Here is a 27,884-nt window from a genome sequence, read left to right as displayed (position 1 = left end):
TTCTGCTGGGAAAATTTCCTGATTGCCTTAAATCACCTGAAACGTAGTTGTTTAGCAAGCTGTGTCCACTCAGATGTGTTTTGCTGGGCCTGTTTGTATGATTCTTTTTTTGAGATAATTGTAGATTACATGCAGTTGTAACAAATAACAAGAGAGATGCTATAATATGTGCCCTTTACCCCGTTTCCACTAGTAGACATCTTGCAAAACTATGGGATAATATCACAACCAGGAAATGGACATTGATACAGTCAAGCCACCAAGCACTTCCATCCCAGGGACTCCTCATGTTGACCTTTTATAGCCACATCACTTCCTATGCCACGCCGCCCCTGACCCCACAATCACTCACCTGCTCTATACTTCTATAATTTTGCCAACTCAATAATCTTGTATAAAAGCAAGTTTACAGTATGTAACCTTTTGTGCTTTTGTAGTGTTTGTTTTCCAGTCCGTATAATTCCCTGGAGCTTCATCCAAGATGGATGTATTAGCAGTTCATTTCTTTTTTTGCTGAATAATATTCCATGGCATAGATGTGCCACAGTATTTAATCATCACCCATGAAGGACCTCTGTGCTGTTTCCAGTTTGGGCCTATTTGATAAAGCTGCTATGAATGTTTTATGTACAGGTGATTGTGGGAACATCACTTTTCATTTCTCTAGGATATATGTCCAAGAGTGAGATTTACCTGCCTCGCAAGACATATGTATATGTATGTATATGTGCCATATTTCATATATACATATGTGTGTGCATGTATGTGTATGTGTGTGCATGTGTGCCATGTTTTATATATATATATGCTTGTTTATGCATAAAATTTCTCTGGATGTATACTCAAGTGGGAAACACTCATTGCCTGTAGGGAAGGGTATTGGGTGATGGGGAGGGAGAGGAATCACTTTCACTTGGAACCCTTTTGAGCCTAAGTTTCAACCATCTGTCTGGATTACCTGTTGGAAAACAAATCAATCTTGTGCAACCCAGAAGACACCCACAGACTTCCTCACAAATACCCTCTGAGGCTGCCTTTTCCGCGCAAGTCTGTTTTTTGTTTCTTCAAAGGGAGCCCGTTGGAATTCCCCTCCCAGAGCACCTGGTTCCACACAGGGCCGACCCTCACCCCCTTAGTTCTGGTTATCTCCAGAGATTTCCCCCAACACACACATTCCCTGGTCTAGGGCCCTCAGGCTTCGAGGGTGACCCCAAACACCCCGCATCACCATCCAAAAGCCCCATGATCCCTGAGGGGCAGGCTCAGCCTATGCGGGCCTCGCTGAAGCCCAGTGCGGTGTCTATGCCCAACCCAGGGGCCGCCGCCTCCAAAAAGCCTTCCTAGCCTTACTGACATTTATCCTCTCCTTCCTGGTCACCCAGTGGCATCGTTGTGTGTCTTCCTGGTTACAGTCAGCATCCACTTCCTGCACTCCTCAGACAGCCGGCCAGTGCACCCTCACCCCACCCTTTCCTGACCTCCCGCTAGGCTGGGCCTTCTCTGCAAGGCTAGATTCATATTTTAGCGGCACCAAGCAGTCAGGTGCCTGCTGACGCATGCCTTCATGCAATTCACGACAGACAGCTAAAAGCCACAGAGCACAGCGCGGAATCTAAGGCCTTCCATTGGTGTGCAGGTGGATTCCGCGGTGCTAAACTTTCTTTTGTGGGTGTGGGGGCCGTGGAGGGGGTTGTGCTCTGGCAGCGTTGGCGCCCTAAATGACCTATAGGTAACCTCTAATGGCTTCCGCAGGGGGTGCAGTGCGGAGGACAAGAGCTTGGGGCTCTCTGGCTGAGTGATCTGGGGGCCATTCAACCGGTTTTTTCCTGGAGAAATGGGAATCTTAAGGCCTCTCTGGAAAGGGTGTGAGGGGGTCGAGGGGGAGCGGGCCCCGGGCCTTCAGCGCTTCAGCAGGTGGCTTCCCTTTGCGAGCCCGGGGTCCCTCTTCTGGGAAGCATGGGCTGGGACAAGGCAGGCGCCGGTTTTCTGCATCCCAAATGTCCTGGGGCATGTGTCCCTTCCTTGCTGACCGTGGGTCCGGGCCAGAGCGCAAGGTCCAAAGCCGGCGGCTTGGCTCCACCGCCAGGGGCAAATACCAGGGCGGGATGCGTGCTGCGGGGCGCCCCGGGGGCTCCCCCTTGGGACTTCTAGGGTCCAGGGGTCCCCGCGGGCGCGCCCCAAGCCTTCTCCCTCAGCTCCGGGGGCCCGGGCGCGCGCCCATCCCCCAGCCCCGCGTCCCTGCGCGAGGGCCGGGCTGGGGGTGGGGTCGCCGCGAGCTCGGCCCCCAGAGTTCCCGCGCTCAGGCCCAGGAAGCGGCGGCCGCCGACGGCCCTCGCCCCGCCCCCGCGCTCATCACCTGCTGGCCTGGCGCGCGCGCGGGCGGGAGCGGAGGGCAACGGGGCGGCGCGGGCGGCCGGGCGCAGGGTCGCGGGAGGTGACGCGCGGCGAGGATGGCGGCGCGGGGCCGGGGGCTGCTGCTGCTGACGCTGTCGGTGCTGTTGGCGGCGGGCCCCTCCGCCGCTGCGGCCAAGCTCAACATCCCCAAAGTGCTGCTGCCCTTCACGCGGGCCACGCGCGTTAACTTCACGCTGGAGGCCTCGGAGGGCTGCTACCGCTGGTGAGGCGCGCGGCCGGGCCGGGCGGGCGCCGTGGGCCGGGCTGGGCCTTCGCGCTGAGAGGCTGGGCGGGCGCCGGGAGGCCGGCAGAGCCGGCAGGTGCGCGGCGCGCTCTCGCTGGGCGCTAGGCTGCAGCACTCGGAGCGGCGGGTGCGCGTGGGTCGCCACCACTGCTCATGTCATGGCGCCGTCCGGGCCTCCGCGCCGCTGAGGCGCGAGCAGAGCGGGCGCAGCCTGGCGGCCGTGACCCGCGTGTTCTGGGTTGTGCGGGAGGAGGGGTGGCCTGGGGAGCGGCGTCTGGGACCGCAGGGCCCAAGCCGGCCGGGCCCGAGCCGGCCTGACCCGGGAGGGGGCGCCGGGGCAGCTGGGCCGCACTTCCCTTGAGTCTGGGACCCCAGCTCGGGTTTGTCTGTGACCGCCCTCGCCCTGGCGTGGGAAGTGAGTCTGTGAAACGAAGCGCAGCGCCTAGCGTCGCGGGGAGGAACGGAGACCCTGGAGGAAAGGAGTTTTGGAGGGAAGCCCAGGGGCCGCTTTACAGAGGCGAAGTGAGACGAGGCAGGCCGGCGCTTCCCCTCAGGCTGCCTCGGCGCGGGTCCTGATGCTCAGGGCATTTCCATCACCCTCCCTCTCGGGTTGGGAGTTCTCCAAGGGGTCGGATGCGGAGTGTGACCCTGTGGAACCACAGGGACCCATGAAACCAGAGACCGACACTGACAGGGCGGTGCAGTCCAGCCCTTCCATTTTGCAGACCAGGGGAAATGGAGCTCCTGCCCCTGGCAAGGCTGCGTGGGCACGACTGAGCGCCCTTAGCTTCCCAGCCCAGCCGTCCTAGGGGTGAAAAGATGGGCTTCCGCCCTTCCCACCCCCAGGATGCTCAGTAGTTGCTCCCTTTATTTCTGTTTCAAGACTGGGTCAAGGTTGAGGCAGAACGGGGTGTGACCACGTGACAGCCATGTGTGTAAGCCTGGACATGTGTGTGTCAAGCCTGTTTGAGTATTAGTCTGTGCGTGTATGTAAGTGTGATGCCCGAAGCTCAGACCAGCCAGCTTTCTCTGTTGCTTGCACTATTTGCCCTATTTCTTTCTTTCTTTTTTTTTTTTTTTTTTTTTTTTTGAGACGGAGTTTTGCTTTGTCGTCCATGCTGACGTGCAGTGGTGCGATTTCGGCTCACTGCAACCTCCACCTCCCGGGTTCAAGCGATTCTCCCGCCTCGTAGCTGGGATTACAGGTGCAGGCCACCTGGCTAATTTTGTTTGTTTGTTTGTTTGTTTTTAGAGTGCACTCCAGCCCTTGTTGCCCAGGCTGGAGTGCAATGGCGCGATCTCTGTCCACTGCAACTTCCGCCTCCCCGGTTCAAGCGATTCTCCTGCCTCAGCCTCCCGAGTAGCTGGGATTACAGGCGCCCGCCACAACACCCAGCTAGTTTTTTGCATTTTAGTAGAGACGGGGTTTCACTATGTTGGCCAGGCTGGTCTCAAACTCTGGATTCACTGTGTTGGCCAGGCTGGTCTTGAACTCCTCAAGACCAAGGAGAACTCCTCAAGCGATCCACCTGCCTCAGCTTCCCAAAATGCTGAGATTACAGGCGTGAGCCACCATGCCTGGCTTGTCTGGCCAATTTTTGTATTTTTAGTAAAGATGGGGTTTCACTATGTTGGTCAGGCTGGTCTCGAACTCCTGACCTCAAGTGATCCCGCCGCCTCTGCCTCCCAAAGTGCTGGGATTACAGGCGTGAGCCACTGCACCCGGCCTGCCCTATTTCTTTTTTGAAGGTCTCCTTCCTGAAATCAAGACGTACTAGGTCAGCCCATTGCATTTTGGTTTTAGTGCTTTATGCACCTGGAGGCTCCTATTTCTGGCCTGATGCCAGAGGCTGAACTTGGGCATTAGGTTTTCTGTATCCCAGTCTAAGGCCTAGTCTTGTGTGGGAAAATCAGCTGTTAGTCAATACTGTGGCGGGGATACATGCTCATTCTCTTGTTGAAGCTGTCTGTCCTCTCAGTATGTGGGCAAGAAAGAGGAAACTGGTTATTAAAAACAGCTGGCTTCAAGTGAATCCCTTTGGATATATTTGTGTGTTACTTTCTCTGAGATTCTATAGCTGTACTTTTTTCTTTTTCTAAACTAACAACACTTTTTTCCCCCCCAACATCATTTTCTTTTCTGAGAGGAGCTGAAGGGTGTTGGTGGATTTTAATTTACTTGGTAGGAAAAAGGGAAAAAACATTCTTAATCTCTGATGCATCAGAGAAGTGCTAAGTACCTTATAACGTGTTTGGCGTTGATCTGTAGTTTGTATTGCAGATGTGTGACTGCAGATGTGTGACTGCTATTCAAAGTGTCTTCTCAGAGGTGTTTGGAAATTGTGATTCCCCCTTAACTTGACAGGAAGACATTCTGTCAATCAAGCATTGAGAATATTTTCTTTATTTTTAGTATTGCTGTTCCTAGTGTAGTCGTCTATTGCTGCAGTTTTGAAGAATCTGCTCTGGAGATTTTAAGAGCTGGCCTATAGACATATATCCACAGTCCTCTAAACCTGGGAGGAACATTACCTCTTCATCCAGAAAGTTCATTGTTAAGTCTCTCAGACGAAAAAGAAAATGAGAATTCTGCCAGACCCTGTGGGAACATTTGCACATCCATTGAATTTGCAGCTGAGCTCTAAGTTTACAGAAATCACTGTGTGTGCCTGAGCCAACAGCTTCATGTTTACTTTTCCTATTTTTTTTATTTTATAACATCAAAATTGGACAGTTTTCGGGCCAGGGGAACCTTAGAGGTCACCTAGTTTAAACAGCCTGTGTTTCATATAGGAAAACCTGAGCTCCAGAAGGGGAAGTGATCTCTGGGAAGTCTTGTAGCGATGGACACTGAGTTGGAGCAGGAGCTGCTGGGACCCCTCCCTGTCCCACGCCATTAGACCTGGGGACTGGCAGCCTCTGGCTAATTTGCCAGGCTCTAATTCTCTCCAACTGCACCCAGCCAGCACTGGTTTTGTGACAAGTTCCTGATTCCTTCTAGATATTTTGCATTATTGAAAGTGTTCCATAAAGTATATTACATTTGCTCCTTTTAAAGGTATATACAAAACGACCTCATATCAAAAACTGGGAGAACAGACGAAAAAGAAATCATGCCATAATCTTCCAGCTGTAATACAATCACAGGCAGCATTTTGGTTTCTTTTCGGTCACTTATGTTTCCTCTCCTAGCTCCTTTCTTACATTGCCTTGAACCTGGTTATTTGGGCACCTCGGGAACCTCCTCCCCTGCCAACACTGGCTAGCACTGAAGCCCAAGCACTGCTCTGTTGCTTCTTCCTGAGGGCTCCGTGTCTGAGCACCTTTCTGCTGGGTTGAAGTTGCCTCCTCATTGATTCTTTCCCTGTCATGGAGTCCCAGGGTATTCTGGGTGCTCCAGCAAGGGGGCGCTGTCTTGGAGAAAGTGAGTGGCTCAGATTGGTTTCCCAGGGGTGGAGCCTGAGGCAGGATTCTGCTGCCCTAGTTTACAGAGAAAGTGCTCTGTTGGGCAGCTGGATAGGGAAGGGAGGCTGCCTGCAGGTTGTCCTGCCTTCAGGCGAAGAGACCAAGCTTTGAGCTTTTGTACCCACTGTCAGGCAGCCATTGGTTCCCCTGGGGAAGGGGATGTTGTGCGACCTCCCGGGCCTCTGGCGGAGACACTCTGTTTTGAATTACGACCTGCAGCTCCCCTGGCTGAGGTGGGGAGGGGATGTGGACCTGCCTGGTGAACAACATCCAGACACAGCATGCACAGTGACTGCCATACCAAGCTGTTCACAGACTTCTCCTTTCCTGCCCCTGACAGTCTCTCCTGGGCACCTTGGAGCCATCTAACACGTGTGCCAGGCCTGGTCCTGCACCAGGGTACACCCTCTCTTATGTGGTCTGGGGCACTTCTCAGTCACAGGTGTAAGGATTCTCAAACAGGTAGATGGGAGTCCTTTCAGGGCCAGGGAGGGCACTGGTCCCTATGCCGTGGAGCTTGGCCTTGGGGCATGCTGTACCCCAGGCAGTTCAGATGACCCCTGGGGAGTCCCTCTTTGCTGAGGGGTGACTGTGGGAGGCCAGAGGCCAGCACTACCCTTGCGTGTGGATGTCCTGGGTCCCTCTCCCTGCCCCAGCAGGGGAAGCTGCAGCAAATCCCCTCACAGGCCTTCGTGGGTGAAGTTGGGCACTAAGGGTGAGGGATGCACGCTGAGCCAAGTCAGAGTGTCATCTGGCCTAGCTGGCTTCTGCTGGGCTCAGGGACCCTGAGCCTCTGGGACGGGCACGTCAGCAGGTCACATGCTGGAAACTTGCACAGGTGAGGCAACAGGGCCTGTAAGAAGTTGCCCCATAGTCAAAATAAAAAATTCACAAAGTGGAAACAACCCAAAAGAGGGAGTTGAATTCGACGGGAGGCCCCCAGTTTGCTCTTCTGTACCTCCTTCACTTGGCCTTCCCTGAGCCCACACCTGTACTTCTGCTCTTTTCGTTGAGAGTGTTTTCCCCTGTACCACTCAATTTGTGTGCATGCTGCATCCCCACACACCTAGGCCAAATCTCTGTCTCCTTCCTTATGCCTGGCCTTAGAGTCACAGGCTTTGGTCGATTGCGTTATCATCTGGGCCTATTTGATGGCATTTCTGGCAGTTAGAAAGTGGGGTGGAGAAACCAGAGCTCCCGCAGGGCCTGGGAGAGGGCACACGGTGAAGACCCGTCCTGCCTGAGCACCAGGGGACAAGCACTGATGGACGACACATATTTCACCGAGGAGGGCTGGAGAGTCACTGAATAAGAGGTGACAAATGTCTGTGACTCTTTTTATTTTTTGAGATGGAGTCTCGCTGTGTTGCCAGGCTGGAGTGCAGTGGCACGATCTCGGCACACTGCAACCTCCACCTCCCAGGTTCAAGCTATTCTCCTGCCTCAGCCTCTCAAGTAGCTGGGACTACAGGCACATACCCAGCTAATTTTTGTATTTTTAGTAGAGACAGGGTTTCACCATGTTGGCCAGGATGGTCTAGATCTCTTGACCTTGTGATCTACCCGCCTCAGCCTCCCAAAGTGCTGGGATTACAGGCATGAGCCACCACACCCACCTGTCTGTGACTCTTACTATGAGCCAGGCACTACTTGAGGTCCTGGGATGTGACAGTGAAGCAGCAGGAGATGCCCTGCTCTCAGGGACTCACAGTTGATTGCCGGAGTTAAACGGTTAATTAAGATGAGATCTGTGGATGCATGTGAGGCAGGAGTAAGTCCTGAAGGAAACAGAACTGCAAGGCATGGAATGTGTTTTGGGGAGGGCGCTCAGCATAAGCCTCCTGGGAGTCGAACTAGGAGTGGAGTGGGGTTGAGTTGGAGGGGACAGCAAGTGCAAAGGGCCGGAGGAGAGATAGAGCTTGTCAGAAGTGCGCAAAGGCAGCACGTTTGGCCAGGGCAGCAGGGCTGGGAGGGAGGGTGGAGAGGTTGGCAGGGCGGGGCCATGTGGGACCTTGTGGGCTGTGGTTAGGAGACAGGAAGGAGAATGCCAGGTCAGATGTGGGCAGGGTTAGACTGGGCCTGGTTTTTGGGCCTCGTTCTCCCTGGCCCCTGAGGGCTGTCTGTAGCTGTGGCCCCTGCAGGGCTGGACCGGGCCTTGCTCAACTCCCTTCACCAGGCCCGCAGCAGGGAAGTGCCAGGAAGTGTCTGTGGACCTGGGTTGACTTGGGCCTTGGGTGATTTTCTTCCTGCTTCCTTTGTGGGTCCCCCACTCTGCCTGAGCTCTGTCAGCCCCACGAGGTGGCTTCCGCTCTGTAGACACTGCCTTTGGGCACCGTTAGGGGCTGGACCCCGCGGGTGGATGGGAGGTGGCGTGTGTCATCCACCACCCTCACCCATCCTTGTTCTTTGTGCAACTCTCACTTCTCTTTTCTTTTCACTGTTGCTTTCTGGCCTGACCCAGGTCCCTGAGTTCCCCTATGGCCTGCCTGCCTCCTGTTCCTGTGTTGTGAAGAGTGGGGAGCACCCCCTCAAAAGCAGTGCCTGCCAGACGCCAGCACATTCTGTGTGCCAGTGGGGCCTCATGCGACAGTGGGAATGAGAAAAATTCACTCTTTCAAAACTCACTGTCAGTCCTTTAATTTTCCTCAAAATAAAAGTTTTCTTCTGGTGTCTGTATGTGGTTTACATATTTTTTTATTTTAAATTGTGGTAAAATATATATAACATATAATCGACCTCCTTAACCATTTTTAGGTGTAGAGTTCTGTGGCATGAAGTACGTTCACAATTGTTGTGCAGCCACCTCCACCATCCACCTTCAGAACTCTTTCATCTTCCCAAATGGACACTCTGTACCCATTAAATAGCAACTCCCTATTTTCTCCTGCTCGGGCCTTGGCCAACACCATCTTTTCATTGTACTCTTTGATGTTTGCCTGTCTCCCAAGAGAACAGGCAGACGCCTAGAGTCTTTGCAGGTAGCAGCTTCCCCCCAGGACTTACTGACACTGCTTTGAGTCATCTGGATGGATGACAAATGCTGTGATATTCTTATTTACACTAGTGTGTAAGGTTTCCTTTTTTGTTTGTTTGTTTTTTTTTTTGAGACAGAGTCTTGCTCTGTCGCCCAGGCTGGAGTGCAGTGGTGCGATCTTGGCTCACTGCAAGCTCCGCCTCCCGGGTTCATGCCATTCTCCTGCCTCAGCCTCCCATGTACCTGGGACTACAGGCGCCTGCCACCACGCCCGGCTAACTTTTTTTTGTATTTTTAGTAGAGATGGGGTTTCACCATGTTAGCCAGGATGGTCTCGATCTCCTGACCTCGTGATCCGCCCGTCTCGGCCTCCCAAAGTGCTGGGATTACAGGTGTGAGCCACCGCGCCCGGCCTCAAGCAATTCTTCTGCCTCATCCTCCTGAGTAGCTGGGGCTACCGGCATGTGCCAACACGCCTGGCTAATTTTAGTATTTTTAGTAGAGACGGGGTTTCACCATATTGGCCAGGCTAGTCTCGAACTCCTGACCTCGTGATCTGCCTGCCTCGGCCTCCCAAAGTGCTGGGATTACAGGCGTGAGCTACTGTGCCTGGCTTTTTTTCTTTTTTTGAGACAGAGTCTTGCTCTGTTGATCAGGTTGGAGTGCAGTGGCCTGATCTCGGCTCACTGCAAGCTCCGCCTCCTGGGTTCACGCCATTCTCCTGCCTCAGCCTCCTAAGTAGCTGGGACTACAGGTGCCCGCCACCATGCCCAGCTAATTTTTTGTATTTTTAGTAGAGACGGGGTTTCACCATGTTAGCCAGGATGGTCTTGCTCTCCTGACCTCATGATCCACCTGCCTCAGCCTCCCTTTTTTTTTTTTAATTGAGATGGAGTCTTGCTGTATTGCCTGGGCTGGAGTACAGTGGCAAGATCTTGGCTCACAGCAACCTCTGCTGCCCAGGTTCAAGCGATTCTCCTGCCTCAGCCTCCTGAGTAGCTGAGATTACAGGCATCCACCACCATGCCCGGCTAATTTTTGTGTTTTTAGTAGAAACGGGATTTCGCCATGTTGGCCAGGCTGGTCTCGAACTCCCGACCTCAGGTGATCAGCCCTCCTCTGCCTCCCAAAGTGCTGGGATTACAGGTGTGAGCCACCACACCTGGCCAAGGTTTCCTTTTAAAGTAATTTTTTAGTAAAGAAGAATCCATTTAATACAATAATAAGAAAAGGGCCGAGCATGGTGGCTCATGCCTATAATCCCAGCACTTTGGGAGGTTGAGGCAGGAGGATCGCTTAAGCTCAGGAGTTTAAGACCAGCCTGGGCAACATAGCGAAACCCTGTCTCTACTAAAAAAAAAAAAAAAAGAAAAGGAAAATAAAGCTGGGTGTGGCACAGGCACCTGTGGTCCCAGCTACTCCTGAGGCTGAGGCAGGAGGATTGCTTAAACCCAGAAGGTCAAGGCTGCAGTGATCCATGATTGTACCACTCTACTCCAGCCTGGGCAACAGAGTGAGAGCCTGTCTATTAAAAAAACTAGGCCGGGTGCAGTGGCTGGCCAGATGCAGTGGCTCATGCCTGTAATCCCAGCACTTTGGGAGGCCGAGGAGGGCGGATCACCTGAGGTCAGGAGTTCGAGCCCAGCCTGGCCAATATGGTGAAACCCCATCTCTACTAAAAATACAAAAAAAATAGCTGGGCGTGGTGCTGGGCGCTTATAATGCCAGCTACCTGGGAGGCTGAGGCAGGAGAATTGCTTGAACCCGGGAGGCGGAGGTGGCAGTGAGCTGAGATTGCATCACTGCACTCCAGCCTGGGTGATAAGAGTGAAACTGTCTCAAATAAATAAATAAGTAAATAAACGAATACAAGTCATACCTGTATGTGACTGGGCTAGGGCAGGTGTCCAACCAAGAGGAGCCTGATGGTGGGGAGGGGCCGTCGGCAGGTGCAGGTGTCTAGGCAACTGCCCTTCCTGGCCACAGCCTGCAGGTCCAGAGGCAGGGGCTTCCAGTGTTGCAGAGGAGATGTGGGGGTGGTGACAGGGGGGATGGACAGAGGGAGCCAAAATGAAAGAACCAATTTTTCTGTTAATCCCTTTGCATACTATGCCCCCACTTAATCCTAAAAATGAACAATAAACAAAACTCCTTTGGTAAGAATGACTGCACTGTACAAATGAGGAGCCTGGGTCCAAGAGCCTCACAGCTGGTTAGTGGCAGAGCTGTGTCCAAAACCAGCCTCAGATCCAGAACCACACTCACTCTCAGATGCCTGGGGAAATGCGCCACCCTTCTCAGATGATTGTTGGTTTACCCAGTTTCCTTCAGCTGGATTTTAAAACTTCAGTAGTACTTTTATTTTTCTGAGACAGATTCTTGCTCTATCACCCAGGCTGCAGTGCAGTGGCACAATTATAGCTCACTATAACCTCAAACTCCTGGGCTCAAGTGATCCTCCCTCCTCAGCCTTTAGAGTAGTTGGGACTATAGATGTGAGCCACCACGCCCAGCTAATTTTTAAAATTTTTATTTATTATTATTATTTTTTAGAGACTCACTATTGCACAGGTTAGTTTCAAACTACTGGCCTCAAGCAATCCTCCTACCTTGGCCTCCCAAAGTGCTGGGACTAAAGGTGCATGCCACCACACCTGGCTAATTTTTTTTTTTTTTTTTTTTGAGACAGAGTCTTGCTCTGTCACCCAGGCTGGAGTGCAGTGGTGCCATTTCAGCTCACTGCCAGCTCCGCCTCCTGGGTTCACACCATTCTCCTGCCTCAGCCTCCCAAGTAGCTGGGACTACAGGCGTCTGCCACCACGCCCGGCTAATTTTTTGTATTTTTTAATGGAGACGGGGTTTCACCATGTTAGCCGGGATGGTCTCGATCTCCTGACCTCGTGATCCACCCGCCTCGGCCTCCCAAAGTGCTGGGATTACAGGTGTGAGCCACCGTGCCCGGCCTTTTTGTTTTTTTTTTTAGAAATGGGGTCTCACTGTTGCTTAGTCTGGTCTCAAACTCCTGGTCTCAAGTGATCCTCCTACCTTGGCCTCCCAAAGTGTTAGGGTTACAGGCATAAGCCACCATGCCTGGCCCAGTGGTGCTTTTAAAAATCAGTATTGGCCAGGCACAGTGGCTCACGCCTGTAATCCCAGCACTTTGGGAGGCCAAGGTGGGCGGATCACCTGAGGTCAGGAGTTTGAGACCAGCCTGACCAATATGGAGAAACCTCATTTCTGCTAAAAATACAAAATTAGCTGGGTATGGTGCTACATGCCTTTTCCTAGCTCCTCGGGAGGCTGAGGCAGGAGAATCACTTGAACCTGGGAGGTGGAGGCTGCGGTGAGCCGAGATTGTCTCATTGCACTCCAGCCTGGGCAACAAGAGTGAAACTCTGTCTCAAAAAGAAAAAGAAAAAGGAAAAAAAAATCAGTAATAGCTGGGCACAGTGGCTCACACCTGTAATCCTAGCACTTTGGGAGGCCAAGGCAGGCAGAATGCCTGAGCTCAGGATTTAGAGACCAGCCTGGGCAACACGGTGAAACCGTTTCTACTAAAATACAAAAAAAAAAAAAAAAATTAGCTGGGTGACGTGCTAAAAATTACAGGTGGCGTGCACCTGTAGTCCCAGCTGCTCGGGAGGCTGAGGCAGGAGAATTGCTTGAATCCAAGAGGCAGAGGTTGCAGCGAGCCTAGATCGTACCACTGCACTCCAGCCTGGGTGACAGAACGAGACTCCGTCTCCAAAAAAAAAAAAATTAGTATTCAGGATACATTTGGAGGTGGGGGCTGATTCAGGTGGATGTTAAAGCCATCCTTCTGCTTGGTCTGGAGGCAGCACCAGGTAAAGGTGGGAGGCCTGTGGCCTTGTTTTGAACTCCGTGTACCCTAGCACAAGGGAGCAGGAGAGTGTCCAGACCAGGGGTTCTGAGCTAGACTACACTAAGGCCCATGTCTAGGGACGTGGCTTCATGAAGGTCACTTAACATCCATGCAAAGGATTCCTCATGTATCAAATGGGGGTTTTAATAGGATTGTTTGGAAGCAAATGAAATGTTCATGATATGTTTCACTCTGTGATTGACACATAAGAAAGCATAGAATAAATGAAAGTTTCAAGATGGTACCAGCATGGTCAGGTTCTGGTGAAGGCTGTCTTCCAGGTTTTAGACTGCTCACTCCTTGTGACATCCTCTCATGGTGGGAAGGGATGAGCAGCTCTGTGGGACCTCTTTTATAAAGGCGCTTAGTCCATCCATGAGGGCTCAGACATCATGACCTAATCACGCACCAAAAGCCCCACCTGTTAACACATGTCATCACCTCAGAGGTGAGGATTTCAACATCTGGATTTCAGGAGGACACAGACATTCAGACCATAGCAGACAGGCACCTACAGAAAAATTGAGTGCTGTTACTGGAAGGTATGTGGAGGCTGGGCAGCCCAAACCCAGCACATGTCCCCCACAGAAATGGCACTCACAGGTCAGCTGCTTGCCTGTTGACAGCTGTTTGTGGGAAGGGCAGGGGAGGCCTACAGACCCTGGACTTACAGGGGAGCTGGTGTGATGAGGGAGGACATTGAGCAGAACAGAGTCAGGTGCCTTTGAGGAGGCAGCCTGGCCATGTGACAGCACCAGAGCTCAGTCTCAGCAGCCGTCAGGTGGTCACATGAGACCTGCTGCTGCACGGAGCTTTTGGGATGCCCTGAAAACACTTGCAGAGTATGCAGCCCTAGATGCCTTCTGTTCCACTTGGTACATTTGATAAAATTAAGTTTGTAATTAAAAACCTTTTTTTTTTTTTTTTTTGAGACAGAGTCTCTCCCTGTCACTCAGGCTGGAGTGCAGTGGTGCGACCTCAGCTCACAGCAACCTCTGCCTCCTGAGTTCAAGCGATTCTCCTGCCTCAGCCTCCTTAGTAGCTGGAATTACAGGTGCACGCCATGATGCCTGGCTAATTTTTGTATTGTTAGTAGAGACAGGGCTTCACCATGTTGGTCAGGCTAGTCTTGAACTCCTGATCTCATGATCCACATGCCTTGGCATCCCAAAGTGCTGGGATTATAGGCATGAGCCATGGCACCTGGCCTAAAAACCTTTTCATAAAGAAAACTGTAAGCCCAGATGGCCTTGTCTGTAAATTCTGTGAAAGATTTAAGGAAGAAATGATACAGGTTCTTTACAGACTCTCAGGAGAGAGAGAAGGAGCAATTGTTTCCTAATTCACTTTTATGAGGCCAACATTACACCCATTGCAAACCAGATGAAAGCATTATAAGAAAAAAAAAATCCCACAGACCAAAAGCACAATTTTTTAAAATACTAGCTAATCAAATCCAGAAAAATAAACAAGACTAATATATCATGATCTGGTAGGGCATATCCCAGGAATGCAAGGTTGGTTCAATATTTTTAAAAAATCAGTGTAATGACCATATTAACAGAATAAAGAAGAAAAGCCATGTATTTGTCTCCATGGATGAACATTCACCACCCACACCTGATAGAGTCCATGCCTGCCTGTCCTTAAAGTCTCTGCTTGCACAGTGCCCCCTCAGTGATGCCTCCTCTGAGTGTCCATGGAAGATGGCAGCCCTGGCCCTCCCAGCATTTTATCTGTCCTTAGCCATTACTAAGATCCCATCTTCATTCACTCATTTTGTCTGTTTTTGTTCTCCTTCCACTAAAGTGAAAGCTCCGTGAAGATAGAGGTTAATGTGTAGTCTGTACTTAGTTGTGTCCTTGGCACCTAGAACACTACCTTAAATATCACTAATAGCCCAGTATTTATGGTTTCAATAAGTGGATGAATGCCTTAAAGACCTCAAGGAGGACCAGCGGTGCCATGGGAGCTGATAGGAGGGGCATGGGTGTTGCAGATAGGGACAGTCCATGGAAGAGTTGCTGTGTTTGGTGAGCTAAGAAGGTTGGACAGCATACCTGTGGGTCAAGAGGTCATGTGAGGTGGAGGGACCAGCATCAGCAGAGGAATAGAGGTGGAGAAGCTGGGAGGGAGGGAGGAGTGGGAGGCAGGGGCTTTGGAAAAGAGGTTAGATTTGATGGCAGGTGGTTCAGGCTCTTTCCAGCAGTGCCACCTTGGGCCAATAACTCTGTTTTGGGCCTGAATCTTTGATTCAGGCTTTAAGGATGCCTTGGTGGTATCATTGGGAGGCCTGTGAGGAGGGCCCTGACCCTAGGGCTTTAGGGTCAGGCTTCAGGGAAGAGGAAGGACAGGTTCAAGCAGGAGTAATCACAATGCCTTGAACTCCTGGGCTCAAGCCATCCTCCTGCATAATTGGAACTATAGGCACAAGCCACTGCGCCCAGCTTTTCTCCTTTCTTTAAAAAGCAAAGTTCTTGTGGTCAGAATCATCCCAAACATTGCAGGACCACAACTCCTTCATTTGGGAGCCCCCTCCTTTTTCCTAGATCTGAGAGCTGTGAGAAGAGCTTGATATATATTATCCCAGCCCAGTGCTTTGTATAGGTGCTATTTTCATTCCTATTGTGCAGATGAGGATGTGGCAGCCCAGGGAGGTTAGCTCATTTGGTCAAGATCACGCAGCTGGTGAGTGGCAGCACCTGTCTGTCTTACGACCTCCCATTCCACAGATACCAACAGATGAGAGAACCGAGTGAGCCACGTCCCCATCCCCGAGGGCTACTTGCTGCACTACATGAGGGGTCCCTGGGAAAGCCACACGCACCACTCCCGACTATGAAACCTGCCATGTGTGCCGTGTGGGGGGTGGGGGGGGTTGGGGCAGAGGTGTTGGTGAGTGGGAGGGTAGGGCAGACATGCCGCCCACCTGCTGAGGTGCAGAGAAGAAGGACAGGTGTGCAGGTAAGAGGACCAAGTGTCCTTTTAGAGGAGTGGCTATTCATTTAGACTGGATGGGCAGGGGAGGGCTTTTCCTCAGAAAAGTCGCCGGACTCTGTTTCTTTGGCCAAACTTGATGTGGAATCCAAGTGAACTGGGCTATGAGCTGGCTGACCTGGCTTCGGTGGGTGGCAGATGAAAGTGTTGGCATCTCAGCCAGTGAGCCCTATGTGCAGACCCTGCCTTTTCTGCTTAGTGAGCCCCTGTGTGTCCTTGAGTGCTGTGTCTCCAGACCCGGTTTTGAGTATGGGCTGAGTGGCTACATGGGCCACCTATGGCCCAGAGCCTGTACTGGTCAGGGACTGTGTTAGCTGTTGTAGCCACGTGCCTCTTCCAGTGGTTCCTCTGTTCCTCACGGTGGGTCCCAGCCAACCAGGGAGAGGCCCATCTGGTGTTTAGAGTTCCTGATATCAGTGTAGGACATTACCCTGCCCCTGTGCTCCCAGAAATTGGAGAATGGCAGCTTATATCAGACTCTGTACCAGAGGGAAGGCATGGCTGGCGTTGCAGGGCTCGGTTCCCCTCTTCCCTGGACCCACACTTCCCCGAGGTGTGCCTCAGTAGTGGGTAGTGGGGACTGCAGTCACTTCACTGCCACCATTAAAATGCTGCTGCTTTTATGTACTACCTATACTAGAATTTACTGAACATTTCCTTCAAAATGACTCACTTTTTAAAAAACATTGACATTATCTTTCGTATTAACATTTATGAGCTCATGAGTTTGGTACATTTGTTTTTCCTAAAACACTTAAATGAATATGTAATAGTTAAAATGCATAATGAGTCTGTTAAAAAATAGCTCATCTGTGCATCATCTAAACTGGTGGGTGTGTCATATCCTGAGGAAAATGCTCCTGGAATGGGAGAGGTATCTGATCTGGAGTCACCCAGGCCTAGCTGCGATAGTTGGCCCTGCTGCTGACAGCTGTGTGGCTTTGGGCAAATTACTTAACCACTCTGAGCCTCAGTTTGGTTTTCCCATACAGGGCTGGTGGAGGATTCAGTGATAAATAGAAGTGTTTAGCTCTGGGCCTGATACATGGTGCCCTTTCCTTTCCTCAGTTGCCCTTCTCATTTCTTATACCCTCCCTGATTAGTCAGGGTTTTCTGAAGAAACAGAACCAATAGGACATATATGTCATATATATATAGCTCATATGCATATATTCAATAGGCTATATATATAGCCTATATATATATATCTTATACACACACCCCCTCATATGTATATGAGAGGTTTAGTATAAGGGATTAGCTTATATGATTATAGAGGCTGACAAGTCCTAAGAGCTGCATTCAGCTGGAATCTCAGGAGAGCTGATGGTTTAGTTTTAGTCTGAAGGCCAGCAGGCTCAAGACCCAGAAGAGCCTATGTTTCAGCTCGAGTCTGAAGGCAGGGATGCTGACATCCCCACTCAATGACTGCGAGGCCCAGAGCGGGAATTCTCCTTGCTCAGGCTTTTGTTCTGTTCAGGCCGTTACCTGATTGGATGAGGCCCACCCACATTAGGTGGCATCTACTTTACCCAGGCCACAGATTCAAATGCTAATCTCATCCAAAAACACCCTCAGAGAAATGGCCAGATTAGTGTTTGACCAAATATCTGGTCACTGTGGCTCAGTCAAGTTAACATGTAAAGTTAATCCTCACACTCCACCAGCACACTTTTATTTTAATAAAAAACAGTCCTTGGATATCTCAGTGGTCTCCAGAAACGAACTGTTCCTGCCTGCCCTCACCTCTCTTATCTCCTCCTGCACTCCCTGTCTCTCTTTGCCTGGGTTGGTTTGATCAACTACCATGTCTGTGAAGAATTACCCACCCTCCCTCCATGTAGATGTAATTCTTCTCTCCCCAGATCCTGGAAACAGAAACATTCCCGACTTGCACATGACTGGCCAGCTCTTTCATTCCCAGCCTGGGAAAGAGCCAGCCTGAATCTCCAGGGACACCTATAGGGTTTTTCTAAGGCCCATCCTGGAAAGCTGTGAGGGGCAGAGACAGCCCTTCGGAGGGAGGGCGCTTCTGCGTGGCCCTGATAGCAGAAAGTATCCTGCTTTTGGGCTTAGAACCCCTGTGTCCTAGCCTGGCCTCTGTGGCCTTAAACCAGTCCCGTTTTCCTAAGCCTCAGTTTACCGATCTGTAAGATGAGGACATAGCAGTAGTTCTTTAAGTTACAACTAACATTAGGGGGAAGATATTTTCATTTAGAAGTTAGAATAACACAGAAAAGAAATAATAATGTAATGAATACCCATATTCCTACCATCAGAATTAGCCATTGTGTAACAACCTATATTGGTTTCCATTCTTTTTTTAAAGAAATAAAGCCTTCTGAATAAAAGTGAATTCCTCCTTACTACCCCCACCATTTCCACTTCCACCTTCTCTATTTTGAGTTTGGTGCAAACCTTTCCCTCTGTAATTCTCTGGCAGACACTTTCTGTTGTGCTTTTTCATCCAGCATTACACACCCCTGTGAGGAAGGCAGGGTGGGTGGGGGGCCTGCCTTACAGATGAGGACGGAATTGGTGGCTGTTGCAGTTCTTTTGTGTCCCTTAAAGACATGCCCAAAGCTATGGGTGGGCTCAAAATGCCCGGGAAGGAAGTCAGATAACTGAAAGGAACACTCACACTGGTCACAGGAAAACCAGCGTGAGCTGCCTGCAGCCTCCAGGAGGTGTTGGGATGGGCTGCCCCTGATTCCCATGCAGGTCCTGACCCAGAGAGAGCAGGCCCCAGGGGAGCGGGGATCTGCAGAGGCCAGACGTGGCCCGGTCTGCTTGTGAGGAAGCCCTGGGTGGATGGAATCTTACTCCTGTTGCACAGAGCTCAGCCAGCTGAAGAGGGGATGCAGGGATCAAGCCCCAGGCCCTGGGGCCTGAAGGGTGGGAGCCACCTTAGATGGCTGAGGCAAGCCTTCCCAGGCCAGGCCAGGCTGCTTTCTCTCTCCCCCAGGCTCTGTCGTCAGTGCTGAGAGGAGGGACTTTCTTAAGAAGGTCACAAGAGCATTTAGCACCCGCTGCCTCCCAAGTAGAGCCTGGGCAGGGGTCAGAGGTGTCCACAGAGACCCCAGGACATGAGAGCCCTGCGCCTGCACGGCCCTCCACCAGGAGGCCAGGCCTCAGAGCCAGGCCAGCATTGGAACCACTCACCACGTGAACGAATGTCTGTGTCCCCTCAGACTCATGTGTTGACACCTCATCCCCAAGGCGATGGCATTTGAGGATCCCCAAGGCGATGGCATTTGAGGTAGCACCTTTGGGAGGTGATGGGGTCATGAGGGTGGGGCCCTCATGGTTGGGATTAGTGCCCTTATACAAAAGGCCCCAGAGAGCTCCCTCGCCCCTTCTGCCATGTGACAACAGTGGGAAGACAGCAGGCATGACCCAGAAAGTGGGCCCTCACTAGACACCTAGTATGCCAGCTGATCTTGGACTGCCAGCCTCCAGAACTGTGAGCAATACATTTCTGTTGTTGGAAAAACCCTGTTTGTGATGTTTTGTCATGGCAGCCCCAAAAGACTAAGACGTGTGACTGTGAGCTCTGAAAATGCAGCCAGTACTACATGTCAGAAGCATGATATTTAGGATATGTTGGGGTAAATCACGTATTTTCTTAAAAATATGACTTTTTAATAGGGATTTAAAAATGGAGGAATAGGCAGAGTGCAGGGGACTTTTAGGGCAGTGGTGCTGTTCCGAAGGATACTGCCATGGCAGGTGTGGGCTGTTATCCATCTGTCCAAACTTACAGGACATGGGATGCCGACTGTGCACCCTCATGTCAGCTGCGAGTGTTCTGAGTGATTGTGAGGTCACCACAGCCTCCTCCATTGTAACCAATTCACCACTCTGGTGGGGATGTTGAGGGAAGTGTTGTGTATGCATGGGGCAGGGCATGTATGGGAAATCTATACTTTCTATTCAGTTTTGCTGTGCACCTCAAACTGCTTTAAAAAACAAGGTTTATTAAAAATTAATCTCACCTGTTACTTTTTTTTTTGACGGAAAATGAAAACGTGGCCTGTGTTACACGTCTGTTGTGCAGGGCTATCTCAGGCTTGTATGAGTCCTTAATGTAGCCCTGCTACATGGACATGAAAGGTGTGGTCACTGCAGTCGGGTTCTGCAGGCTGTCCAGGCATCTCAGTGTGGCAGCCCAGGGAAGAGCTTGGGGAGTTTTGCAAGGAGAATTTCAGGCTTCTTTTACTTGGATAGGAAGAGCTCTGTTTGCATTTATTGGGCCTGTGTCTGAGATTAATACACTGCTGTTATGAAGCAAGAAAAGAGTGGTTATCTCTATTTTGTTGAGGAGACAGAGGCTAGGAGAGGGTGTGGGATTTACAGGCCAGACCAGGACCCCAGATCCCAGTTCCCAGGGGCCATCGAATGATACATACCACAGTGTTTTTAAAGGCAGGAGTGGGAAATGATGAATTCTCTTTTCCCCCCATAGACTTTATTTTCTTTATTCTTTATATTTATTCATTTATTCTACTTGTTTGTTTGCTTGAGACGGGACCTCATTCTCTCACTCAGGCAGAGTGCATTGACACAATCACAACTCACTGCAGCCTTGAACTCCTGGGCTCAAGGGATCCTCCCTCCCACAGCCTCCCATGTAGCTGGGACCACAGGTGCACACCACCATAACTGGCTAATTAAAAAAATTTTTTTTTGTAGAGATGGCGTCTCACTTTGTTGCCCAGCCTGGTCTTGAACTTTTGGGCTCAAATGATCCTCCCACCTCAGCCTCCCAAAGTGTTAGGATTAGAGGCATGAGCCACTGCACCTGGCAGAGTAGACTTTTTTTTTTTTAAAGCAGTTTTAGGTTTATGGCAAAATTCAGTAGTAAGTACAGGCTCCTTTTTCTGCCCCCAGATCGAATCTAGGACCCAGGATTTGTTGAGTTTCCTTAGCCTCTACTGCCCTGTGTGAATTTTCTAATTTGTCCTTGTTTCCACACTCTTGTGTGTGCTTGTGTATGGGAAGTTTAAAGCCCCTCGAAAAACACCGTAGGGCACTAGTGCTGTCAGCATTTGGATGGTTGGACGGAGTGTTTCCAGTGGGTATGGGCCGGGTTCATAGGCACCTGCTTCTTGTCTCCTGTGTGGGCTTGTGCCTGCTTTGCTGTGTTCCTCGACTCTGTGCCATGCTATTTTCCTGGAAGAAATCCACAAGGGGCCACAGACACACTTCCTCCGGGGTGTAGATTGCTTTCCTTCACTGATGGATGCAGCTCATTTTCCGTGAACTTCCAAGGTCCATCTGGAGGCCTCCTGCCGCAGCCCATTGTGGCCAGGTGGTGTCGGAGTGGTCGGCATGCTCAGGTGTGTTGGAAGGGGCCTTGTGCTGGCTTGGCCCAGGGAAGACACTTGGCATCCAGCCAGAAGGCGGGACATCTGCCTAGGTGTGTTCCGCACCATTGCCTTTTTTTTTTTTTTTTTTTTTGAGCCAGAGTCTCACTCTGTTGCCCAGGCTGGAATGCAATGGCTTGATCTTGGCTCACTGCAGGCCTCCGCCTGCCGGGTTCAAGCGATTCTCCTGCCTCAGCCTACCGAGTAGCTGGGATTACAGGTACCTGCCACCAAGCCTGGTTAATTTTTTGTATTTTTAGTAGATACAGGGTTTCACCAACTTGGTCAGGCTGGTCTCGAACTCCTGACCTCTGGTGATCTGCCCACCTCGGCCTCCCAAAGTTCTGGGATTACAGGCATGAGCCACTGCGCCTGGCCACGCACCATTGCTTTTTGACACCAGGCAGTTTCTGACAAGTCTCCTTCAGAATACTCGTGGCTGTGGATGTTCCAGTGAGTTTAGGCAAAGTTAGGGAGGATGCAGAGACCCCGGAGTGTCTGCTCTGTGTCGGGTGCTGTGCCGGGTGCGGCCCCGAGAGACAAGCGCCAGGCACGGCTTAGTGGCCCCTCCTGGGGCCTTGGTCACACTATAAACTCTCTGAGGGCAGCATGGCCAGCCGCTTTCCATGGCCCTGCTTCACCCCAGATCCTGGTGGCATTCTTTTGGAGGCCCTGTACACTAGGCCTGAGAGCCTGTCTGTAGACAGCACATGCTAGCTGGGCACGCTCAGTGTGGAGTCTGCTGTCCTCTGCCTCTCGTCACCTTCTCACCTGGGCCTGGGGCAGTTATCCTGGGCCATGGATGAGAAACTGAGGCGCTGACAGCAGATAGCTTTCCCCACACATTCCTGTTATCCTTCCTCCTGTTATCCTCCCTGGGGAAATTGGCTCACAGACGTCTGGGCTCATTTGTGGATGTGTTTATCTGTCTGTCTCCCCACTGTGGCTATAATATCCGCTCCGCAGGCACTGGGAGCTCATGGTTGTGTTTATCATTACAGGTAGTGATCCCCAGGGTTAGTGGAACCCGTTGGGGTTGGAAGCTGATGCCTGGAGCCTGCTGTGCGCCAGGCCTGGGCTAGAGGTCGGTCGAGATGCCTGTGCCCCCTCCCTGTGCAACGTGTCCCTCATGGGATCCCTTGAGCAGCTTTCCTGCTGGTACTGAACGACTCCCACATCTGCAGGAGTCTTGGACGGTGGCCATCTGTTGAGCCTTGAGGTCATTTCCAGGTGTGAGGTCTCCTGTTTGATTTGCTCCATGGGAACTGTGTGCACAGGCCTGGAGCCCTCAGCTTGTGGAGGTCTTAACTGGAGAGGCCTTGGCAGGGCCCCACGTCTCCTCTGGGTTTGAAGCTGGTGTTAGGTGGCCCACCTCACTTCTGTCTTTGGGTCCAGGACTGCGCCCTAGACGGGTGCCACAGCCTGGTGTCTGGACCCCACTGTGCCTTGCAGTGCAGCTCCAGAGAGTAAATGCTGTCTTCTTCCACTGCAGGTTGTCCACCCGGCCGGAGGTGGCCAGCATCGAGCCGCTGGGCCTGGACGAGCAGCAGTGCTCCCAGAAGGCAGTGGTGCAGGCCCGCCTGACCCAGCCTGCCCGCCTCACCAGCATCATCTTCGCAGAGGACATCAGTAAGGGCTGAGTGCTGTGTGTGATCCCCGGTGGGAGCCAGAGACAGGGAAACGCCCACTAAGACCCAGGGTCCTAGAGGCTACCTGAGCCCATGGCAGGGCTTTCTCTTGTTGAGTGGCAGGACACCCAGGCAGGAGACAGGCACCCAGCAGGCAACACCCATCCCAAGCCTTGTGCCAGCACTTCGTACCGTGTTCCCTTTTGTGGAGGCTGGCTTGCTAAATTTCTAAATTATTATTTGTTACCTAAATAACTCTTAATGGGTAGCAACTCATTACTATGACAGTTGTCCTAATCTGTGAGATCACTCCTTTTCCTTCCCCATATCTAATTTATTATATTAGTTGTAAAATAGTTTGACAACAACAATATAATTTTCTATCATGCTTTTCCCTACTTAGATTATAGGACATGTTCCATTTTACCATACAATGATTTTTTTTTTTTTTTTTTTTTTTGAGACAGAGTCTTGCTCTGTCGCCCAGGCTGGAGTGCAGTGGCGCGATCTTGGCTCACTGCAACCTCCGCCTCCTGGGTTCAAGTGATTCTCCTGCCTCAGCCTCCCGAGTAGTTGAGACTACAGGCATGCGCCACCACACCCGGCTAATTTTTGTATTTTCAATAGAGACGGGTTTCACCAAGTTGGCCAGGCTGGTCTCGAACTCCTGACCTCATGATCCACCCACCTCAGCCTCCCAAAGTGTTGGGATTACAGGCGGGAGCTACCGCACCTGGCCCATACAGTGATTTTTAATGCTGAATAATATTCTCTTTTTTATGTTGCTGTTTTGAGACAGTGACTTACTCTGTCACCCAGGCTGAAATGCAGTGACTCCAACACTGCTGACTGCAGCCTCAACCTCCTGGACTCAAGCAATCCTCCTGCCTCAGCCTCTCAAGTATTTAATAGCTGGGACCACCACAGGTGCATGCCACCATGCCCAGCTAATTTGTAAAATTTTTTGTGGCGAGTTGGGCGTCTCCCTGTGTTGTCCAGGCTGGTTTCAAACTCCTGGGCTCAGGCAACCCTTCTGCCTTGGCCTCCCACAGTGGCGGAATTACATGTGTGAGCTACCACACCCGGCCCAAATAATATTCTTAACAGGAGGTTGTCCTATAAGCATTCCCTTGTATTGGGCATTTAGAGTGTTTTCAGATGTTTGTTTCAGTGTTACATATAAAAATAAATGTTTTTATATAGAGAACAAATTAGAATTCTTTTACATTATTTCTTAAGATAAATTCCCAGTTTTTCTGGGCCACAGCTTTGAATATTTTTATTTTTATTTTTTGAGATGGAGTTACCCAGCTGGAGTGCAGTGGTGTGTTCTTGGCTCACTGCAACCTTTGCCTCCCGGGTTTAAGCAATTCTTCTGCCTCAGCCTCCCAAGTAGCTGGGATTGTAGGCATGTGCCACCATGCCTGACTAATTTTTCTTGTATTTTTAATAAAGATGGGGTTTCATCATGTTGGCCAGGCTGGTCTTGAACTCCTGACCTCAAGTGATCCACCTGCCTTGGCTTCCCAAAGTGCTGGGATTACAGACGTGAGCCACCACACCTGGCCAACCTTGAATACTTTTAAGGCTTTTGATACATGGGACCGTATTGCTGTGCAAGAAAACCACACTAAAGTGCACAAGCATTTTTATATGGTACCTGGAGAATGGTCAGAACAATTTTGTATCTCTTGCTGCTATCCTTACACTTGAGGGTTCCCCAGGTAATGCCATTTACATACCTTATTTATGGAGCAAGTAAAAAAATCTCTGGGTGTGCCCACCAGCCCCTTCTGTACTATACTTGATAGTCTTTTATAAAAACACCAGCATATGTGAAAACCAAAAACCACCAGCGTAATCCCTAATCTCAGTGAAGGGACAGGGTTCTCGTCTTTGGGATGGGAACTCATCATACTATAACCCTTGTCACTTCACGGAATGCTTACACCCTGAACGAAACTAAGTTTTCCTGGAGTTTTTTTTGCCCACAGCTTTAAATGCTGGTGCCCTGCTGGAAAAGCCAGAATGGGTGGTGACAAGGCCCCCACAGCCCTTTCTTTCTGGTAGTCCCTGTTAACTGTCAGTGGGGCCATGTGTGAGGCAGCTGCTTGGCTTCTGAGGGTGAAGCTGGTGGTTGCCGTGGTCTTTGCCAGAGTGTAAGCCTGCAAGGCTTGGAAGTGGAGCCAGGGGCGGGGACTGTCTTTGGTGCTGACCCCTTCCTGGGGTTCCTCCAGCCACAGGCCAGGTCCTGCGCTGTGATGCCATTGTGGACCTCATCCATGACATCCAGATCGTCTCCACCACCCGCGAGCTCTACCTGGAGGACTCCCCCCTGGAGCTGAAGATCCAGGCCCTGGACTCCGAAGGTGAGAACGTCCCCTGCCTGTTTGTCTTCTGCAGCCCATGCTAGATCATCCCCCCACCATGACTCTGGCCTCTCTGCATTCCCCACTCCTCTGGCATCCAACCCTGCAGGTCCCTAGAGGGCAGCTCTGGTCAGGCAGGTGAAGTTGGTGCTGGGGGAGATGCTGAAGAGGCAGAAACCACCTCTGAGGTGGGCCTCAAGCCCTCGGTGGTGTCGAATCATGGTCACTCCTGGCCCTCAGGAACCCCTGCAGTGGGGCCTGTGTGCTCAGAGCTGTGGCTCTGTGACCCTGGAGCCAGACCCTGCCTGCATAGTGCTGGTCCTTGGTGCAGCACATCTTGGGGAAGCTAGCATTCTTGGCAGCGATGGGAGGCAGGGAGAGGCTCCCTGCTCTGGCTCTTAGGGCCAGTGGTGGCTTCCTGTTCCAGACCTCAGAGCATGTTTGTGGGTCAGGTCACATTTATGCTGCCGGCCCAGGGCACTGCCCTCACATCTTCACCTTGCCAGAGTCAAATATGGGCTTGTTTCCAGGCTGGAACTCTTCTAGGTGATCTCTTAAAGGAAGTAAGGGAAACTTTTTTTTTTTTTTTTTTTTTTGAGACAGAGTCTTGCTCTTGTTGCTCAGGCTGGAGTGCAGTGGTGCGATCTTGGCTTACTGCAACCTCTGCCTCCTGAGTTCAAGCGATTCTCCTACCTCAGCCTCCCAAGTAGCTAGGATTAGAGGTGCCTGCCACCAAGCCCAGCTAATTTTTTTTTTTTTTTTTGTATTTTTAGTGGAAACGGGTTTTCACCAAGTTGGCCAGGCTGGTCTTGGACTCCTGACCTCAGATGATCCACCCGGCTTAGCCTCCCAAAGTGCTGGGATTACACACATGAGCCACCGCACCTGGCCAGTAAGGGAAACTTTGTAGGTTAAAATTCTTGTCAGAGAAAATAAAAGTCAGGCAAAAGATGCCTTTCAGATGATCTGCCCCCAAACCAAGTCCAAACCAAGGCTCACTTTGTCTTTGAAACCTTTTCTGACAACTCTAGCTCCTGTTTTTGAAAAAAAATTTCTGGATCAGGATTTCTTAGCCTAGATAGTATTGATTGACATTTGGGGTTGAGTAATTCTTTGTGATGAGGGCTGTCAGTGCATTATAGGATGTTCAGCAGCATCCCAGGCCTCTACGTACTAGATGTTAGTAGTGTCTCCCAAGCCATGACAATCAAAAATGGCCCAGACATGGCCAAATGTCCCTGGGGGGCCAAACCACTGTTTAGAGCACTAGCAGACCCTTTCTTCCCCGCTTACCCATTCATCAGATGAGGCCCTTAACCTCTGACACTGCCTTCTGACCTGTGAGATTGAGATAGTGATGCTTGTCCTGGGGACCATAAGGACTTAGTGAGAAATATGTACAGTGTTCGGTCTTGCGTGAGTACTCAGTAAGCCAGGGGGTGTTTCTCTGAGCACTTTGTACAAACTGGGCATTGTCCAGGCACCAGTGTTGCTATAGGGAAAGAAGTACCTGGCAGCTCCCAAACAGTTAAACACAGAGTTATCCTGTGCCCCGGCAATTCCACTCCTGCCCAAGAGACCAGAAAACACATGTTCACATGTGAATGCTCATAACAGCATTATTCATAACCGCCAAGTGTGAAGACAACCCAAGAGTCCATCAACGGATGAGTGGAAAAACAAAACACGGTCGACCCCTGCAATGGAATATTATTTAGCCACAAAAAGAAGGAAATACAGGCTGGGCGCAGTGGCTCATGCCTGCAATTCCAGCACTTTGGGAGGCCGAGGCGGGCAGATCACTCGAGGTCAGGAATTCGAGACCAGCTTGGCCAACATGGTGAAACCCTGTCTCTACTAAAAATATAAAAATAAGCCAGGCGTGGTGGCGCACACCTGTAGTCCCAGTTACTCAGGAGGCTGAGGCAAGAGAATCGCTTGAGCCCAGGAGGCGGAGGCTGCAGTGAGCCGAGATGGCACCATTGCACTCCAGCCTGTTTCAGATTCCTGGGTGCAGTGTGTGAAGGTGCCATGATCTCCACGTCCTGGCCAGCACTTGCTATTGCTCATCCTTGTGGTTCTAGTTAAACCCCCTTTAAGTCACTTTTTCTTGAATGTGTATCCATTCTCCCCAGGTAGGTGGTGGGGATGTCGGGATTGGGGAGGTGCCTGCCTCAGCCTTCCCAGGCCACTGTTATGCCAGGATGGTGCCCAGCAGCCCTGGATGGTTTCCTCTCACACTCCCCCCTCTCCTGGAGGGTTGATGGCCCCTGCAGCCAGTTCCAGAGTAGGACGTCACCTGGTCTCCACAGACTGGGTCATTCACCAGTAGCCCATGTCAAGGCCCCACCTTTGCAGCAAGGAAATGGATAACTTCCCTCCTCGCCCACTGTGAGGGCATCATGCTTTCTACTTGGTCCTCCTCGCCCCGAAATACTTTGATGAGTACCTTCATCATTTCTTTTGCCTTTTTTTCTGAGCCTGTGACCTCTTTTCTGATCAGAGTCTCCTCTGTGAAGATGAACTTGATCCTTAGAACCTTTGAGGGCAGTCCCAGAAATGAT

At 51.1% G+C, this 27,884-nt stretch overlaps 1 protein-coding gene across 5 annotated transcripts in view, besides 8 other annotated features; it reads left to right on the top strand.

Moving 5' to 3' along the window:
* Nucleotides 2,121–2,520: a silencer, noted in NCBI's record as "silent region_14085". NCBI's record gives its function as "represses an Ori minimal core promoter by ATAC-STARR-seq in GM12878 lymphoblastoid cells {active_cell/tissue: GM12878}" and the evidence as "EXISTENCE:reporter gene assay evidence [ECO:0000049][PMID:35858748]".
* NUP210 (nucleoporin 210) overlaps nucleotides 2,355–27,884 on the top strand; it is a 104,088-nt gene continuing 78,558 nt past the window's right edge. For all 5 annotated transcript variants that reach the window (XR_007095651.1, NM_024923.4, XM_011533538.3 and 2 more), the window contains exons 1-3: nucleotides 2,355–2,617; nucleotides 22,816–22,952; nucleotides 25,189–25,320. Coding sequence is in view for 4 of the 5 variants with exons in the window: in NM_024923.4 (NP_079199.2) it covers nucleotides 2,451–2,617; nucleotides 22,816–22,952; nucleotides 25,189–25,320 (436 nt within the window). In the remaining variant the exon portion in view is untranslated. The remainder of the gene's footprint in view (nucleotides 2,618–22,815; nucleotides 22,953–25,188; nucleotides 25,321–27,884) is intronic.
* Nucleotides 2,571–3,140: a silencer, noted in NCBI's record as "silent region_14084". NCBI's record gives its function as "represses an Ori minimal core promoter by ATAC-STARR-seq in GM12878 lymphoblastoid cells {active_cell/tissue: GM12878}" and the evidence as "EXISTENCE:reporter gene assay evidence [ECO:0000049][PMID:35858748]".
* Nucleotides 5,933–6,002: an enhancer, noted in NCBI's record as "active region_19490". NCBI's record gives its function as "activates an Ori minimal core promoter by ATAC-STARR-seq in GM12878 lymphoblastoid cells {active_cell/tissue: GM12878}" and the evidence as "EXISTENCE:reporter gene assay evidence [ECO:0000049][PMID:35858748]".
* Nucleotides 6,063–6,212: an enhancer, noted in NCBI's record as "active region_19489". NCBI's record gives its function as "activates an Ori minimal core promoter by ATAC-STARR-seq in GM12878 lymphoblastoid cells {active_cell/tissue: GM12878}" and the evidence as "EXISTENCE:reporter gene assay evidence [ECO:0000049][PMID:35858748]".
* Nucleotides 8,613–8,662: an enhancer, noted in NCBI's record as "active region_19488". NCBI's record gives its function as "activates an Ori minimal core promoter by ATAC-STARR-seq in GM12878 lymphoblastoid cells {active_cell/tissue: GM12878}" and the evidence as "EXISTENCE:reporter gene assay evidence [ECO:0000049][PMID:35858748]".
* Nucleotides 20,736–21,236: an enhancer, noted in NCBI's record as "H3K27ac hESC enhancer chr3:13442941-13443441 (GRCh37/hg19 assembly coordinates)". NCBI's record gives its function as "activates a minimal SCP1, AML or CMV promoter by ChIP-STARR-seq in primed H9 embryonic stem cells {active_cell/tissue: H9 hESC(primed)}" and the evidence as "EXISTENCE:reporter gene assay evidence [ECO:0000049][PMID:30033119]".
* Nucleotides 22,279–22,808: an enhancer, noted in NCBI's record as "H3K27ac-H3K4me1 hESC enhancer chr3:13441369-13441898 (GRCh37/hg19 assembly coordinates)". NCBI's record gives its function as "activates a minimal SCP1, AML or CMV promoter by ChIP-STARR-seq in primed H9 embryonic stem cells {active_cell/tissue: H9 hESC(primed)}" and the evidence as "EXISTENCE:reporter gene assay evidence [ECO:0000049][PMID:30033119]".
* Nucleotides 22,809–23,340: an enhancer, noted in NCBI's record as "H3K27ac-H3K4me1 hESC enhancer chr3:13440837-13441368 (GRCh37/hg19 assembly coordinates)". NCBI's record gives its function as "activates a minimal SCP1, AML or CMV promoter by ChIP-STARR-seq in primed H9 embryonic stem cells {active_cell/tissue: H9 hESC(primed)}" and the evidence as "EXISTENCE:reporter gene assay evidence [ECO:0000049][PMID:30033119]".

Source organism: Homo sapiens, chromosome 3 (genome assembly GCF_000001405.40).
Source record: "Homo sapiens chromosome 3, GRCh38.p14 Primary Assembly".
NCBI classification, from domain to species: domain Eukaryota; kingdom Metazoa; phylum Chordata; class Mammalia; order Primates; family Hominidae; genus Homo; species Homo sapiens.
Note: the sequence above shows the minus strand (reverse complement) of the source record. Positions and strands in the feature narration are given on the sequence as shown.